Here is a 17470-nt window from a genome sequence, read left to right on the forward strand (position 1 = left end):
CTGTGCTCAAAAGCTGCCATAAATCCCTGGCCTCGTGTCTGTTCCCAGGCTTGCAAACCCAGTGCCGTCGACTGATACAGACCTTTCAGCAGGATTTGCTGAGCTAAACAGGTGTCTGATGAAAAGTGTGTAATCCTCAAAGATTATCATCCCCTAAAAGCAGCTGGTGACCCCAAACTCACATAATCCAGAGAGATGGAAGTTGGGAGTGAGTAGCTTGCCAAAGTTTACACTTTGGTGTTTGAGGAGGTTCATATGGTTTGGTTTGGTTCCAGGTAGTGGAAGATGGAGGTGTGCAGGGGTGAGGGTGTCTGCCCCTGTCGGGGGAGATCCCTGTCCCTATCCATGCCCTTGCCTGAGAACATTATTCTACTATGGTCCATTTACACTCTTGAATACTCCTAGTTTAAAGGGAAGGAATTTTCATTTTCAATGAGCGTTAACATTACAGTTATTATGCTGGGAATTAAATTTAATTTGGGAATTTGGGTCTGCAAAAACATATCTTGACCTTGTCTAGATAGTTCCTTCCTTATCCTAATAGATCTGTCTACATGAGATAACTCTCTACCACTTTTATTTTCTCCCACTGGGAGAGAGTTAACCATTTCAAACTCAGGGCTAGTTAACATGAGATTTGATTCTTTTACTGCAAGTAGTTAAGCCTTAACAGAGGTGAGGCACACTCGGGTTCCATGCAGTACAGCTTAGAAATGCTTACTTTTTATAGACAGAAATCACATTGTTCTTCCTTTCCCTTTAAGCAGACATCTTGACAATCCTTTGAATTGATTATGTGGCCTGTATACTGAAAGTCAGATGTCACCTTCCCCAGGATAAGTACTTCCAGTAAAGCAAAAGAGGAAGCCAGCTTTTGCTACGATCAAGATAGTTGATGTGGATGAGGGGTTTATGGGCTACCCCGTTTTCAATTACAAGGCTCCCACTCACAGAGTAAGTGCTGTTGGCCAGCACCTCTGGCTCACAGACAAGTTCCAGGGAATAATTTCACCAGCGATTAATTATACTGCAGCTACTGGGATTTGTCCTCCAAACATCACTTTGTTTTCCATCTGAAACAGCCAGGTTTCTCCAGGGAGAGCTGAGGTTTTCTGATTGAAAGTATCCCGAGTTAAGGAGAAGTGTTAGAGCACCATGGGAATCTATTCACCAGGGGTGTACTGTACTTGTTTCAGATGCTTCAGGATAATACACCAGCTTCTAAGATAAGTGCTTTTTTTTTTTTTTTTTTTTTGAGATGGAGTTTCACTCTTGTTGCCCAGGCTGGAGTGCAATGGCATGATCTCGGCTCACTGCAACCTCTGCCTCCCGGATTCAAGTGATTCTCCTGCCTCAGCCTCCCGAGTAGCTGGGATTACAGGCGCACGCCACCATGCCCGGCTAGTTTTGTGTTTTTAGTAGAGATGGGGTTTCTCCATGTTGGTCAGGCTGGTCTCGAACTCCTGACCTCAGGTGATCTGCCCACCTCAGCCTCCCAAAGTGCTGGGATTACAGGCATGAGCCACCGCGCCCAGCCAAGATAAGTGTTTTTTATTTCCCTGCATCTTAGATCAATTATTTGGAATTTTTTTGGTAAGTTAAGAGCTGTAACTTAAACCACCACATCTCTATGATGTACTCAATAAGTGAAATGTTCTTACCAAAAATTTTTCTTCCAATGGGCTATATCATAATTATGTTGTGAAGAGCCTAGAAAAAAATAGAGGCCGGGCACAGTGGCTCACGCCTGTAATCCCAACACTTGAGGGACTGAGGTCAGGAGTTCGAGACCAGCCTGGGCAAAATGGTGAAACCCTGTCTCTACTAAAAATGCAAATCTTAGCCAGGCATGGCCACTGGCGCCTGTAATCCCAGCTACTCAGGAAGCTGAGGAAGGAGAATCGCTTGAGCCTGGGAAGCGGAGGTTGCATCGAGCCCATATCGCACCATTGCACTCCAGCCTAGGCAACAGAGCAAGTCTCTGTCTCAAAAAAAAAAAGTACAAAGAAACAAAAGGTGGCAAGAAATTCGTTTTTTAAAACATCGCATGTTATGAGGGTCAGAGTAGTGAAGTGCCACCAGCTGCAGCCTTCTGAGAGGAAGTGCTGCTGCTGGTTCAAATGGAATTCTGTCCTACATCCACCAAGCACGCCAGTGGAGTGGACATGACACACACTTTTCTTCTAAGCTGTACAGTTTAACATATTACAAGTGAGTTCATTTAACTAGTAAGGAATCAGAAATGTATCTTTGTTCATTTTGATCGTTTTGATGGATTCTGTTTTCTCTTACGTGAGTAGACTTTGTGGACTTCCAAATGGCTCCTGGCATAAGTGCCAGTTCCTGCTATTAGTTCCTTGAGGGTCTCATGAGTCAGAGAGGAGAGGGAAAAACCCACTGCAAGCCATGCAGGGGTCCCTTCGGATAGTGGCCTTGTGCAGTCTGCAGTGTCGGTGCACGTCATCCCTGCACACCCGCCTGCTGTGCTCTGGCTGGAGCTTGGGTTTGCAGTTGTCTTCTTTACAGCACCCAGGGAAGCATGGCCTCCTGGCAGGTGTTGGCCACTCCCTGCTTTCTCCTGGCCTTTGCAAGCACAGTGCAAGGGTGTTTGCTGAAAAAGACCACTGGGCTTTCAGTGTACCCACACCCATCAGGGCTGATCACCCTGCTGCCACCTCCCCAGGACTCTTCCGTGACTATCAGTCATAGCCTGAAGTCTGTGTCCAAGGGAGTGTCTCAGGAGACAGCCACTTAACATGGTAGGAGTAGCAGGTGCTAAAAGGTTTATGCCTAAATGCTCCCCATGGACCCCAAGTTGCCTGCTGGTTTGAGTGGCCTAACCCATTTAGGCTCAGGCCCTGACAGGGTGTGTGTGCACCACTTCGGGGTGTGAAAGCATGAACAGCTGCGGAAAGCGTGGGTTTTCTGATGCTGGCTGCTGCTGCCTTCCGGATTAGGGACTGTAGCGGGGAGACAGAACAAAGGAACACATGTGCTTCTGGGTAAGCTGGCCCATCATAGTGGGGGACATAAGGTATGGGGGGGCACATACCACCTTGGTATGAACACTTTGGTTGTACAGAATTCTTTCAGCAAGGCTGAGAGGAGTGGGGCTTTCTGTCCTTGACTGCTGGATTCAAATAAGCACCAGTAGAGGACCTGGGGACTTTCACACTCACTGCAGGGGACTTTCAATTGTGGGATCTCATGGACAAAAGGGAATGGTTCTATATCCACGGCTCTATGGTTCTCACCCCCCCAGGAGTACAAAGCTGGGACCCCCCAGCCTCCTGGGTACGTTTCTCAGCATGTGCCAAGCACTTTGGAGGCAGGTGACGGATGTGCCAATTATCTGTATTCTGAGGTGTGGGCTCCCTTCATACTCTGGCAACACAGAGACGTAGAGAGCTCTTCTTCGTGTTGACAGGACACAATATGGGCTGGCTTCGGCACAGTGGCCATCACTGTGTTAGCATTCCTGACACACTGCTATTGAAAGCCCCAATCTGCTGCCAAATTACATGTAGACAGTGGTTTCACTGTAAAATGTTGCGGTGCTTGTTTGCATTCAGTCAAATACTTTGCACTTAAACATGGGTTAAAGAGACAAATAAGTCAAAAGACCTTAGCAAAACCTGAAGTTAAATTTACGCCTATTCTTCATAATGGCATTCAGATTAAAGCCATCAAAATGCAAAATGCTGTGATTATACCCTTCGAGGGTTCAGGCTGGATTCTTGTTTTGTATTTCTGCATTACTGTATTTGCAGTGATTTTGAGATGCAGGAAAATGCATCAGAGGCATTGATTTCTTCTTTAACAAAAAATAACCCTAAAATTGAGAAAATTCTTGAGAATGCAGCCATTTTGGAAATGTAGATAAAGAAGAAAAATGCTGAAGATTTGGGTGGTTTATGGAGCCGTATGATTTTGTCATTGCTGCCACCTACTGTATGTGGTTGATGTTTGTTTAAACTTAGGAAGTTCATGAAGGTGAGGCTGTTGAAATAGATAATTAGAGCAAGGTAGACATCATTAGCTTATAGCATTTCTTTTCTACCCCATAAGTGGCTCTTAATTACTGAGACAGCCGCCAGCTTTCATTCATTACCTTCAAGTGGATTTAAAGGGCTGGTTTCTTTTTTTTTTTTTTTTTCCATTTTTAAAGTTCCTTTGCCAAGGAACCTTCACAGTAATGCTGTAAAATGCGTTCAAAAGCTTAAGATGCTGGGGGATTTTCTGAGCATACATGCAATAGGTTGTTTTAAGGAGTTTGTTTTGTTTTGTCTTAATTTGTAGGAGCAATATTCTGGGATTGGATTGTAAATTAATTTCTATGAAAGAGGTGAAAATGGAGCTAGTGGAGCTGATGGGAGTTGCAGCAGTTGACTTGAAAGACATTCTTTTATTAGTCCTAAAACAAAGCTTCAGATCAACCTGCTAGTTAAATGTAACAAGCAATATAGACTCTGAGTCAACAGAGGTCCTTCTCTTTTTATTAAGACCCAGCTGTCAAAGGGTCATTAGGTCCTTCCTGTGGAAAACAACTTGCCCATTAATGTTGGGGGTGGTCCCTCGACAGGATTTCTGAGTAAGTGCCTGACATTTCGTTTTTGAAAGAATCTAAAGCTGTGGGAGACTTAGATGTTGAGACTTAGCAGGAGTAATGTCTTCAACCATAGCTTTTAGTCTTTGTTAAATATGTCACAATATGTGTTTGGAATGCTGCTGCTAGCTGCGTGAATTGACTTAGAGTGCCACTGTCAAAGATTCAGGAGCGTAAACTTCACGGAGATCAAATCACTATAACTGGGAAGAGGCTACATTCCTAAAGCGAATGCACTTCTCTGTTGTGATGTTTTTACCTTGTCACTACTCATATTATTTCTAGTGGCTCCTGTTCTAAGCTCTGGGAATGCCACAGTGAGGAATGCCCATTTATTTTTTCTGCCCTAGGCTATTTGCTTTCTAGAAGAGAAGGCCAAGCAGGGTCTCCTGAAAAGCCTCTCTCCGATCTGGGCCGTCTCTCCTACCTGGCATATTGGAAGAGCGTCATCTTGGAGTATCTCTACCACCACCATGAGAGGCACATCAGCATCAAGGCAATTAGCAGAGCGACGGGCATGTGCCCACATGACATTGCCACCACTCTGCAGCACCTCCACATGATCGACAAGAGAGATGGCAGGTGAGTCCTGGGACCCTGGGCAGCTCCGTGGCTCAGGCATCCCACACCAGAAAGGGTCCCTGGAGATAGGTGCATTCATTCCAGTTAAAGACTGAGGTTCCCTAACAGTATTATCAAACCTTTTCTCCTAAAAATAACACATGAAATGACACTTTTTTACTGGTTGGATTCCAGTGTTCTGTACCCTCTCATTGAGGTGCTTTCTGATTTTTCCTAACGCAGATAACATTAGTGCTAGCATATGTCCGTATGTGAAGCTGAAGTGAAATTTCAGCTTGTGATTACATCTTGTTCTGCCTTATCACATTACAGATTTGTCATCATTAGACGGGAAAAGTTGATATTGAGCCACATGGAAAAGCTGAAAACCTGTTCCAGAGCCAATGAACTTGATCCAGACAGTCTGAGGTGGACCCCAATTTTAATTTCTAATGCTGCAGTGTCTGAAGAAGAGCGAGAAGCTGAGAAAGAGGTAATGATTGTCTTTATCATCCTAAGTTGTGTAACTTCAATCTTGTAGCATTCTTAAGCTAAGAAAGTCATTAAGATCGTTGTCAAAAGCTTGGTTATGTAGAGATAGCATGTGAAATGATATGGCACTAATTTATCCTAACTGAGGTTGCATGGTAAGACATGATAATTTTATTGAATTGAGTATGAAAAATGAAACATTTATCATTGATTACAAAGCAGCATTTTTCACTACTGAGAGCATGTAATCAGATCAAATTCGGTGCTGAGCTCCAAGGCTGCAGTGTCAATTGATTCTTTGTGTTTATGAACTTGCTTAAAGTGCTCCTTGCCAGTGAGCATGTAATGTAGTGATAAAGGACTCAAATCAATTCGCTGCATCATTAATACTGTTAAATATCCCATGAAACCCAATCTTCTTTGATTTGTTATCCTAACTGATGCAAAAGGTTCCTGAGATGATGCAGCTGGAATGTGCTTGGCTGGCTGGCTGTCCTGATCAGAACCGACTTAGAGACACTTTGCCATTGATCCTCAGAGGCTCTGGCTGTGTAACTGCCCTCTCACTGGCCACCATTTTTACCCTCCCCACTTAGGCTGAGCGGCTAATGGAACAAGCTAGCTGCTGGGAGAAGGAGGAACAAGAAATCCTGTCAACTAGAGCTAACAGTAGGCAATCACCTGCAAAAGTACAATCGAAAAATAAATATTTGCATTCCCCGGAGAGCCGGCCAGTCACAGGGGAGCGAGGGCAGCTGCTGGAGCTGTCTAAAGAGAGCAGTGAAGAAGAAGAGGAGGAGGAGGACGAGGAGGAGGAAGAAGAGGAGGAAGAAGAGGAAGAGGATGAAGAGGAGGAAGAAGAGGAAGAAGAAGAAGAAGAAGAAGAAAATATTCAAAGCTCTCCCCCAAGATTGACGAAACCACAGTCAGTTGCCATAAAGAGAAAGGTAGGTGTCTGTTTAGATTTTCTGTGAGTCGCGTTCAATCAAATCTTATTTGTCATTGCAGACATTCTGTCTATTAGTATTTGTTTCACTCTCTGTTCTTTAGTCGTAGTTTATGTGTACCCAGTCCCGCTGATCATATATCATAATCGTTTATCTCACAGTCATGATTATGTTTACTTTTCAGGTTTGTTAGTGCGGTGACAGGAAACCAGGGACAGGCCAGCCTCCTAGTCTAGTAGTCACTGCCACCTGCTGGTCTGCAGGAGTAGAGTAACTGAGGTTTATGGGAACAAAAAGGGGCCCCAGAAAGCACTTAAACCACCCTCCAAGACCTAGAGGCCAGGAGACTTCTCTAAGGTCATATGACTCATTAGAGATGGAAGCAGAACCAAATGCGTGCTCAAGACTCTAAGCCTGGGTTGGGCGCAGTGGCTCACGCCTGTAATCCCAGCACTTTGGGAGGCCAAGGTGGGCAGATCACCTGAGGTCAGGAGTTCAAGACCAGCCTGGCTAACGTGGTGAAATCCCGTCTCTGCTAAAAATACAAAAAATTAGCCAGACACGGTAGTACGCGCCTGTAATCCCAGCTACTCGGGAGGCTGAGACAGGAGAACCCAGGGAGGCAGAGGTTGCAGTAAGCCGAGATCGCACCATTGCACTCCAGCCTGGGCAACAAGAGCGAAACTCTGTCTCAAAACAGAACAAAAAGACTCCAAGCCCAGTGCTCTTCATGCTGTTTCTTTCTCTTGTTCTTGGCACAGAATTGTTAGAAAGCATTTTAGGCCCTTAATTTTGATGGTGATATTTTGCATTTGTGGCCAACTGCGCATTACTGAATCTCCTCAGATCTTAGTAGCCCAGTGATGTCTCTAGATAGACCATATCATCTCCAATGGTACAGAAAGTAAAGAATTGACTTTGTTTTTAGGTAACTGCTCACCCAGATCTGATATCTTTGTCTTCAGTATCTATCTGGGACATAGAGGAGAGCCAAGACTGATAGAGATATCACAATACAAGCTAAGGCTCCGCCCCAAGGCCATCTGATGTGGCATCTGTTAGGGAACTTGCTGTTCTAACTCCCAGCTCAGCGCTCTTCTAGGCCTGGCAGTCTTCTGGAAGGGTCTCCATGGGGAGGTGGTAGAAAGGAGCATCCCACAAAGTAGACTTCAGGCTTAAGAATAATGTTTCCATTTCTTAGGAGGAGTGTGTATTCATGTGTTGTATATATAATAAAAGAAATTTGTTCTAAAACTATCAAAAACCAGAATCATCCAAGGCATGATCTGAACTGGACTCAACCTGAAGAAAACCAGTTCTCTACCTTGGCTTCCCTCATATTAGGGAAAATTCTCATGGATTAAAGAGGGCAGGCAGACTGGGGGGAATAATAACCGTAAATGTTTAATTACAGAATATGATTAACTGGCTACGTGTGTGCTTCAGTGAGCATTCAGAGCGTTAACAAAAGTAAGACACAAGAATTCTTGGAGGCCGGACACAGTGGCTCACGCCTATAATCCCCACACTTTGGGAAGCTGAGGCAGGAGGATCATTTGAGCTCAGGAGTTCAAGACCAGCCTGGGCAACAAAGCAAGACTCTGTCTCTATAAAAAATAAATAAGTATTTTTAAAATAATAATAATAATAATTGAATACAGTTTACCTGAAGGTTAGCTTTTAACCAAGCATATTGAACCCTTCTTTGCAGTGTATTTTCAATAATTTGGGGGGCAACAATTACATCTTAGCAGCAAATCTACCTGCTATTCCTCTATTTGAATTTTGTGTCATTAAAAACTTTTTTGCTGGGCGAAAAACATTTTATAATTACAATTATGGACAGTCATTTGTGCCAACCTTTAGTGCAAACAGAAAAAATATTTTTAGGCCAGGTGCGGTGGCTCACACCTATAATCCCAGCACTCTGGGAGGCCAAGGCGGGTGGACCACTTGAGCTCAGGGGTTCGAGACCAGCCTAGGCAACATGGCAAAGCCCTGTCTCTACAAAAAAGAAAAATAAAAGAAAAAAATATTTTTATATCATACAAATAAGACATCTGGCATGTCTTTAACATTTTTAGATTCCTTCTATTAAAATATTTTGCCAGGTTATCAGTTGCTCACATCTCAGCAGCCACCAATACTTGACTTTGTTAACATTTTAAACAGTAATCCTTTCTTCAGGTACCTTTCCTTTCCTTTTCATAGCCCTGAAGTCCTATGGAATGAGAAAAAGTAGGCTGGTCTTGTATCATATTTCCCAGTGCTGTCCACATAGTGGGTGCTCCTTCAAGAGTTCTCAAGTATTAAATGGGTTAACCCAGTGGCTAGTTAATTACAGCACCATTTATAAAGACATTAGAGTCTGTGATGACCTTAAATGTCTGTGATGTGAGGAATATTGAAGCCAGCAAGTACCATTGGAAAAATATATGCTAGAAAAGCAAAGCTTAGTTTTTAAAATCTCCAGTCAAGCTGCTAGGATGTTCCCTCTCAGAGCATCTGCTTGAGTAAACAACTGTTTTATTTGGAAAACACTTGCCTGTGTAGTTGGAGCCCGAGAGGGATGTTAGACATCAAATGGAAGGTTAAGTACAAAGGCATTACAGAAGTCACCACGTGTAAGATTCTCAGACACGCGTTCAGTACATGTCTACTGCATATCGACTCAACCATTTAATTTCTCATGAGCTCTTATGTGTTATGTTTGGAATTAATTTCAGAGGCCTTTTGTACTAAAGAAGAAAAGGGGTCGTAAACGCAGGAGGATCAACAGCAGTGTAACAACAGAGACCATTTCAGAGACGACAGAAGTACTGAATGAGCCCTTTGACAACTCAGATGAAGAGAGGCCAATGCCACAGCTGGAGCCTACCTGTGAGATTGAAGTGGAGGAAGATGGCAGGAAGCCAGTCCTGAGAAAAGCATTCCAGCATCAGCCTGGGAAGAAAAGACAAACAGAGGAAGAGGAAGGAAAAGACAATCATTGCTTCAAGAATGCTGACCCTTGTAGAAGTAAGTAGAGGAATGATAAAAACCTTACCCTTGAGAATGTCTGTATCTGACTGGGTGCCAAAGAGCAGGCCTCTGGCGTGATGCCCAGAGGCACCTGCGAAGTGGTGCTGATGCACCTGGAGCAAGTGCCCATCTGCCCTTTCCCATCCTTACAAGCTTCTCTCCCTTCTTCCTGGAATTGGATTTTATGTTAAACAACTTCTAAGGCCAGAACATTCCTCTAGGTGGGTTCATCTTACTTACCAGAAATTGGCTTATCCCCAAAAACTTTGAAGTCTGTTGACAAGAAACACATTACATTTCTTTGATTCTAATATGTACTTTTTTTTTTCACATTTAGTTATTTCTGAAATCAAGGTATATATTATTATCAGTGTGAGCATTGAATGGAATCGTTTCTTTTTTCCTGGAAAACAAATATTAGTAAATCAATAGTACATTTTATAATCAGTAGTGTCGTAGTATATACTACTATAAAGATTCATCTAAACTAAGCTGGGCATGATGGCTTACACCTGTAATCCCAGCACTTTGGGAGGCTGAGGCAGGTGGATCACTTGAGCCCAGGAGTTTGAGACCAACCTAGGCAACATGGCAAAGCCCCTACTCTAAAAAAAATACAAAAATTAATCAGATGTAGTGGTGTGCACCTGTAGTCTCAGCACTTTTGGAGACTGAGGCAGCTGGATCACTTGAGCCCAGGAGTTTGAGACCAGCCTGAGCGACATGGCAAAACCCCATCTCTACAAAAGATACAAAAATTAGTCAGCAGTGGTGGTGTGTGCCTATAGTCCCAGCTACTTGGGAGGCTGAGGTGGGAGGATCACCTGAGCTCAGGGTGAGCCATGATCGTGCCACTGCACTCCAGCCTGGGTGACAGAATGAGACCCTTTCTCAAAAAAAAAAAAAAAAAAAGGAACCATCTAAACTTACCCACACATCAATATTAGCTTTGATAATATTGCATAACATAAAAATCAGTAAACTGACTTTCCTTTTAAGTTGACAGGGACACCTCTACCCCATCCTCTAAAAAATACACTGAACACCAGTGAATCGTCTTTAAAAGCACCCATCCTTGCCTGTCAGGTTGAGAACGTGTGCTCCCAGCTGAATCATGAGGGTTTATGGTATACTCTCTCTATTCCCTGGCCAAGATGACTCTATTCAGAACTTACTTTAATCTGGGGAACAGGCCATCTCATTTCCCTGGGAACCACAGGATCACTCTAGCTTTTGAAAAGCCACAGTTTTAAGAACATATGCAAGCATCTTCTTGATTTTCTTAGTTCACAGAAATGCTATTCCTGCATACAGTATTTTGCTGAAGGAATGACTTCTTACCCTGGGTATAGAGAAACCAAGCCTTATTCTTTGGGTTTTTTTTTTTTAAACAAATAACAAACTGCAGTGAGCGATCATTTTGTGTGTGAAAATGAGGTTTATTTCCCCTTCTTGGCTGTCTTCTCATATTATGCCTGATTCCTTTCAGGATGTCCTTCTTTCTTAAAAATAATTGTCAGAAAGCTCATCTTCTGATTTTGGGAGGTGTTCCAACAAAAGCCGGTAGGTCCAGTAGCACGTAGAATAAGAATGCAGAATCCAGCCAGGCATGGTGGCTCATGCCTGTAATCCCAGCACTTTGGGCGGCCGAGGTAGGCAGATCACCTGAGGTCAGGAGTTCAAGACCAGCCTGACCAACATGGTGAAACCCCATCTCTACCAAAAGTACAAAAAAATTAGCTGGGTGTGGTGATGCATGCCTGTAAGTCCCAGCTACTTGGGAGGCTGAGGCAGGAGAATCGCTTGAACCTGGGAGACAGAGGTTGCAGTGAGCCGAGATCATGCCACTGCACTCCAGCCTGGGCAACAGAGCAAGACTCCGTCTCAAAAATAAAAAGAATGTGGAATCCGGGGGCACTGGCATGGCTATTACCTGCCATTGTGAATAGAAATGTCCTGAGATGACTCTTAACTCGGGCATGGTACTCGGCACTTCTCAAGGAAACATTCTACATCACATATGTGTTCTTTTCAGCTGGTCGGTTTGAATGTAATACTTGCAGGTAAGTTTATCTGTAATCCTTTTATTACCTAAATCAGCCAGTGCTTACTCTGCTGTCCACCAGTTGGACTAGAACTCACTCTATTCTGGCAGAAGGGATATCTGTTTTATGATGATTGTGAGATCTTATTTTTATTCTCCAAAATAGAGTTTCTAATAAGACTATTGTTCTATATAAAGCTTTTCCTTTAAATTGACCACTGATTCTAGAAGATTGGTGTAATCTAAAGATCTTAAGAATACTTGGGTGCTTCATGCATATATTTATTAATATATATTTATTAATATGTATATAGCTATTCATCTGCTTGTATAAATATGTACATATTTACATTTATATTAACATGTGCATATAGGTTCAGTAAAAAGCTCACCTGAACTGAAATGAACTTCACAATTATGGTTTGTTTCTAAGTGTCTTTAATATGCAAACCTTACATCAGCAACATATTGATCCAGAATTCAGTGTGGACAGAATTAGTGTTAAAAAGAATACCTGTATTTTAAATGTTCAGGAATTTGCTAGTAATTACATTGTAGTTTGTATCATGCAAAAATGATGATCCTAAAAATGATGATTACAAATGCATTTGTTTTGGGTATTTAGTTATTTACTGATTTGTTTCAGAGGTACACAGCTTATTTTTATGCCAGAGAGAACATTCAAATCAAAGTAAATAAATCATGTCTTCCAAGATCATTTACATCCTATAAATGTCCACAAACAGAGGTTTACTTTCTCTAGGTAGATATGAGAGTTAAGGCTTCTAGTCATTTTTCCAGGACAGTAATGATTTGTATATAAGCTAGCATTAATTCCTTTCCCCTATATTTCCTAATTTGTAAATGTTCAAATTGATTTTTTTTTTTACACTGTGGAACTCTGGGCTTTTGCATCAGAGAATGTCTTGTTCATTAAATTCAAATAAGCACATTAGCATTGCCTATATCCATGTGTTCCCAATATGTTACTCTCCCAGGCCTAGGTTATTTACTTGGTTTATAACACAATATTATTACACATTAGCCTTGATTATGTCTTTACCATCAACTTTTAACATGCCAAATTGAAAGCAGTGTTTGCTAATTAATTTAGAGGAATGAATTCAAGTTGCCCATGGTTATGCTTTCTAAGACTGTTTTTTTTCCTTCCCGTTTTTGTCTCTTCACTAAGACAATATGAATGATGATTCAAGTAACTTGAAAGAAGGCAGTAAAGACAATCCCGAACCTCTAAAGTGCAAACAAGTGTGGCCAAAAGGAACAAAGCGCGGTCTATCTAAGTGGAGGCAAAACAAAGAGAGGAAGACCGGATTTAAACTGAATTTGTACACCCCGCCAGAAACACCCATGGAGCCTGACGAGCAGGTAACAGTGGAAGAACAGAAGGAGACTTCAGAAGGAAAAACCAGCCCCAGTCCCATCAGGATTGAGGAGGAGGTCAAGGAAACTGGGGAAGCCCTGTTGCCTCAAGAGGAAAACAGAAGGGAAGAAACATGTGCCCCTGTAAGTCCAAACACATCACCAGGTGAAAAACCAGAAGATGATCTCATCAAACCTGAGGAAGAGGAAGAGGAGGAGGAGGAGGAAGAGGAAGAAGAGGAAGAAGAGGAAGGGGAAGAAGAAGAAGGAGGAGGAAATGTAGAAAAAGATCCAGATGGTGCTAAAAGCCAAGAAAAAGAGGAACCAGAAATCTCCACGGAAAAAGAAGACTCTGCACGTTTGGATGATCACGAAGAGGAGGAGGAAGAGGATGAAGAGCCATCCCACAACGAGGACCATGATGCCGATGACGAGGATGACAGCCACATGGAGTCTGCCGAAGTGGAGAAGGAAGAGCTGCCCAGAGAAAGCTTCAAAGAAGTACTGGAAAACCAGGAGACTTTTTTAGACCTTAATGTGCAGCCTGGTCACTCGAACCCAGAGGTCTTAATGGACTGTGGCGTCGACCTGACAGCTTCTTGTAACAGTGAGCCCAAGGAGCTTGCTGGGGACCCTGAAGCTGTACCCGAATCTGACGAGGAGCCACCCCCAGGAGAACAGGCACAGAAGCAGGACCAAAAGAACAGCAAGGAAGTCGATACAGAGTTCAAAGAGGGAAACCCAGCAACCATGGAAATCGACTCTGAGACTGTCCAGGCCGTTCAGTCTTTGACCCAGGAGAGCAGCGAACAGGACGACACCTTTCAGGATTGTGCCGAGACTCAAGAGGCCTGTAGAAGCCTACAGAACTACACCCGTGCAGACCAAAGTCCACAGATTGCCACCACGCTCGACGATTGCCAACAGTCGGACCACAGTAGCCCAGTTTCATCCGTCCACTCCCATCCTGGCCAGTCCGTACGTTCTGTCAACAGCCCAAGTGTCCCTGCTCTGGAAAACAGCTACGCCCAAATCAGCCCAGATCAAAGTGCCATCTCAGTGCCATCTCTGCAGAACATGGAAACCAGTCCCATGATGGATGTCCCATCAGTTTCAGATCATTCACAGCAAGTCGTAGACAGTGGATTTAGTGACCTGGGCAGTATCGAGAGCACAACTGAGAACTACGAAAACCCAAGCAGCTACGATTCTACTATGGGAGGCAGCATCTGTGGAAACGGCTCTTCACAGAACAGCTGCTCCTATAGCAACCTCACCTCCAGCAGTCTGACACAGAGCAGCTGTGCTGTCACCCAGCAGATGTCCAACATCAGCGGGAGCTGCAGCATGCTGCAGCAAACCAGCATCAGCTCCCCTCCGACCTGCAGCGTCAAGTCTCCTCAAGGCTGTGTGGTGGAGAGGCCTCCGAGCAGCAGCCAGCAGCTGGCTCAGTGCAGCATGGCTGCTAACTTCACCCCACCCATGCAGCTGGCTGAAATCCCCGAGACGAGCAACGCCAACATTGGCTTATACGAGCGAATGGGTCAGAGTGATTTTGGGGCTGGGCATTACCCGCAGCCGTCAGCCACCTTCAGCCTTGCCAAACTGCAGCAGTTAACTAATACACTTATTGATCATTCATTGCCTTACAGCCATTCCGCTGCTGTGACTTCCTATGCAAACAGTGCCTCTTTGTCCACACCATTAAGTAACACAGGGCTTGTTCAACTTTCTCAGTCTCCACACTCCGTCCCTGGGGGACCCCAAGCACAAGCTACCATGACCCCACCCCCCAACCTGACTCCTCCTCCAATGAATCTGCCGCCGCCTCTTTTGCAACGGAACATGGCTGCATCAAATATTGGCATCTCTCACAGCCAAAGACTGCAAACCCAGATTGCCAGCAAGGGCCACATCTCCATGAGAACCAAGTCAGCGTCTCTGTCACCAGCCGCTGCCACCCATCAGTCACAAATCTATGGGCGCTCCCAGACTGTAGCCATGCAGGGTCCTGCACGGACTTTAACGATGCAAAGAGGCATGAACATGAGTGTGAACCTGATGCCAGCGCCAGCCTACAATGTCAACTCTGTGAACATGAACATGAACACTCTCAACGCCATGAATGGGTACAGCATGTCCCAGCCAATGATGAACAGTGGCTACCACAGCAATCATGGCTATATGAATCAAACGCCCCAATACCCTATGCAGATGCAGATGGGCATGATGGGCACCCAGCCATATGCCCAGCAGCCAATGCAGACCCCACCCCACGGTAACATGATGTACACGGCCCCCGGACATCACGGCTACATGAACACAGGCATGTCCAAACAGTCTCTCAATGGCTCCTACATGAGAAGGTAGACAACGTGGGCAGTCCACAAAACCTACGGGGCATCACTATTGGATTGATCTGCACAAATACCTTTGAAGAGTACGATTTCAAAACCAGCAATTGGTGTGAATGCAAAAACATTTGTTGGCACCATTTATTTAAAAAAAAAAAAAGCTGTATGCAGCAGAAAGCCTTATACAAGTTGTTTTTCTTTTTTTCCTTTTTCTTTTTTTTGGTACCTTCATTTCTGTTACTTTTATATAAAATTCTCTGCAAAGGAAGGCCTCTCTTTGGACTACAATTTGGAGGCAGCCACTTGTTGTGCCTGCTTCTGTTAAACAATGTGGATATCAAGCCCCCCCAAATTATCTGTTTTAATATTGAACCTAGAGCTTTTTTTTTCCCTTCCCTGTCCACTCCATGTAAATGCCTTTAGCATTTCAGTTATTGTATATTTTGTTTAAGGTGACACTTCAGCATGCCGCTAATGTCTTTGTTAGTGACAGTGCATTTTGTAGTACTGTACAAGTGTTGTGCTAACAGTAAGCCATTTCTTAAGTTTTTTGCCTTGATTAGGGTGCCCTAATTTGAGGGTTTTAAAAAAAACTATATTTTTGTTAATTATAAAACTGTAAAGAGCTATAAAAGCTATTCCCATTTGGTTAGTCAAAAGGGTTTTATTGCTAAATGTTTGGTGTAAAGTTGAGACCCTTTTCCATTTTGGTGACAGATTTCTTTGGGGAAAAAAGGCAGCTTTCTGTTTTATAAATGCAGACTTCTGTTTATTGAATGAAGCATATCTCAGTGTTTATCTGTCAGGTTTTGAAACATTTCATATATGTCCAAATACTTGGCAGGATTTAAAAAAAAATAGTGAATTTGGTGTAAAGTTGCTATTTTATGGAAATGCCTCTAACTTTACATTTTCATTCCATCTGTAGATTTTTCTATCTTTATAAAATATTGGAGTTATTTTTTAAGGAAAAATAGAAAAGTAGCTTGTGAATAGCTCAAACTAAGCTTACAAATCGCATGTAAAAAAGCAAAAAAGTTATTTGTGTCTGTTTATATTGCTTCCTTTTTTGTAGCCTTTGTACCTGTACAGGGTGACAGTAAGGGCCAAGCAGGAGAGGCGTAATCCTTGTATAAAATAGGATCCAGCGACACTCTTGTATTTATCTGTTCTCTTTTTAGTCAGTCACTTCAAAAAAACAAAAAACAAACAAAAAAAAGCTGTACATTTTAACATAAAATAAATTATGATGAGCCATTTTTAGCCTCTTGTGTCCTGTCATATTATGATTGATAGAGAATGACCAATGGAACTGTATCATGTGTCACGCCTCAGAACACATACACATTTTGGGAAAATAAATTATTTAGTGTAAATTGGAGTTATGGGATTTTCTGATTTGTTTTGACTTTGGGGGAGGGGTTGGCAATAAATAAGAGTAATATCTAATAAAACCATCACATATACCAAATACCTATTTAATAAATTAATTTATAATGGATTTTAATGCTTTTCATGAAAGTTTATTTTATGCGAGTGCATACCTTCTGTATGCCAATCATTGTCTTTAAAATAAAGTGAAATTGTTTTTTTCTTTTGGACTTTGATCTTCATTTGCAAAGAGATCCCGCACAAATATCCAGCTGCCTCACTCGCACAGTCTGTAGAAACATCCCTCCAAGCCTCGCACCAGGGTAGCAAACTTCCTTTTTATAAAGATTCATACCAAAAAAAGCACCCAATTTGGGATTGTATGTTTGAAAAATCATTTTCTTTTTAAAAAGTGTGAACGTTTTGCTCTGTTGTGAATGATTAATTGTATGTTTTCTTTAGAGTCTAAAGTTTAGACCCCCTGCCAAAAGTGAATATTCACAAGTATAGCGTTCAGAGAAAGTTCTGAGTGTTGCTTGAATTTGGTTATTTGAGCAACAAGTCTAGAAATGAATGCTTGACCTAGCACCCGTGTGAAACTAGCCCGTTAAGCTCTCCAGGTGTCTGAACACGTGTGCTCGCAACTCCTCTGTTAAGCAGGTCACTACCCTGTGGAGGAAAAAAGTTGCTTTTG

The 17470-nt window shown here is 42.9% G+C and overlaps 1 protein-coding gene and 1 non-coding gene across 36 annotated transcripts in view, besides 3 other annotated features; both read left to right on the forward strand.

The window, feature by feature from the left end:
- Positions 1-16999, forward strand: part of KAT6B (lysine acetyltransferase 6B) — a 207689-nt gene extending 190690 nt beyond the window's left edge. For all 35 annotated transcript variants that reach the window (XM_047424912.1, XM_047424919.1, XM_047424927.1 and 32 more), the window contains 5 exons: positions 4957-5188; positions 5501-5660; positions 6256-6606; positions 9333-9624; positions 12864-16999. In XM_047424912.1, coding sequence (XP_047280868.1) covers positions 4957-5188; positions 5501-5660; positions 6256-6606; positions 9333-9624; positions 12864-15421 — 3593 coding nt within the window. In that variant the 3' untranslated portion in view covers positions 15422-16999. The remainder of the gene's footprint in view (positions 1-4956; positions 5189-5500; positions 5661-6255; positions 6607-9332; positions 9625-12863) is intronic.
- Positions 1271-1438: a silencer, noted in NCBI's record as "fragment chr10:76776654-76776821 (GRCh37/hg19 assembly coordinates)". NCBI's record gives its function as "represses an EF-1alpha promoter that drives an FKBP-Casp9 reporter gene in an ReSE screen in K562 erythroleukemia cells {active_cell/tissue: K562}" and the evidence as "EXISTENCE:reporter gene assay evidence [ECO:0000049][PMID:32094911]".
- SNORD172 (small nucleolar RNA, C/D box 172) lies at positions 6108-6166 on the forward strand. The gene has a single exon (NR_145812.1). It is a non-coding gene; the product is annotated as a small nucleolar RNA, C/D box 172 (small nucleolar RNA).
- Positions 6765-6874: a silencer, noted in NCBI's record as "silent region_2505". NCBI's record gives its function as "represses an Ori minimal core promoter by ATAC-STARR-seq in GM12878 lymphoblastoid cells {active_cell/tissue: GM12878}" and the evidence as "EXISTENCE:reporter gene assay evidence [ECO:0000049][PMID:35858748]".
- Positions 14500-14999: an enhancer, noted in NCBI's record as "H3K4me1 hESC enhancer chr10:76789883-76790382 (GRCh37/hg19 assembly coordinates)". NCBI's record gives its function as "activates a minimal SCP1, AML or CMV promoter by ChIP-STARR-seq in naive H9 embryonic stem cells {active_cell/tissue: H9 hESC(naive)}" and the evidence as "EXISTENCE:reporter gene assay evidence [ECO:0000049][PMID:30033119]".

Source organism: Homo sapiens, chromosome 10 (genome assembly GCF_000001405.40).
Source record: "Homo sapiens chromosome 10, GRCh38.p14 Primary Assembly".
NCBI lineage: Eukaryota > Metazoa > Chordata > Mammalia > Primates > Hominidae > Homo > Homo sapiens.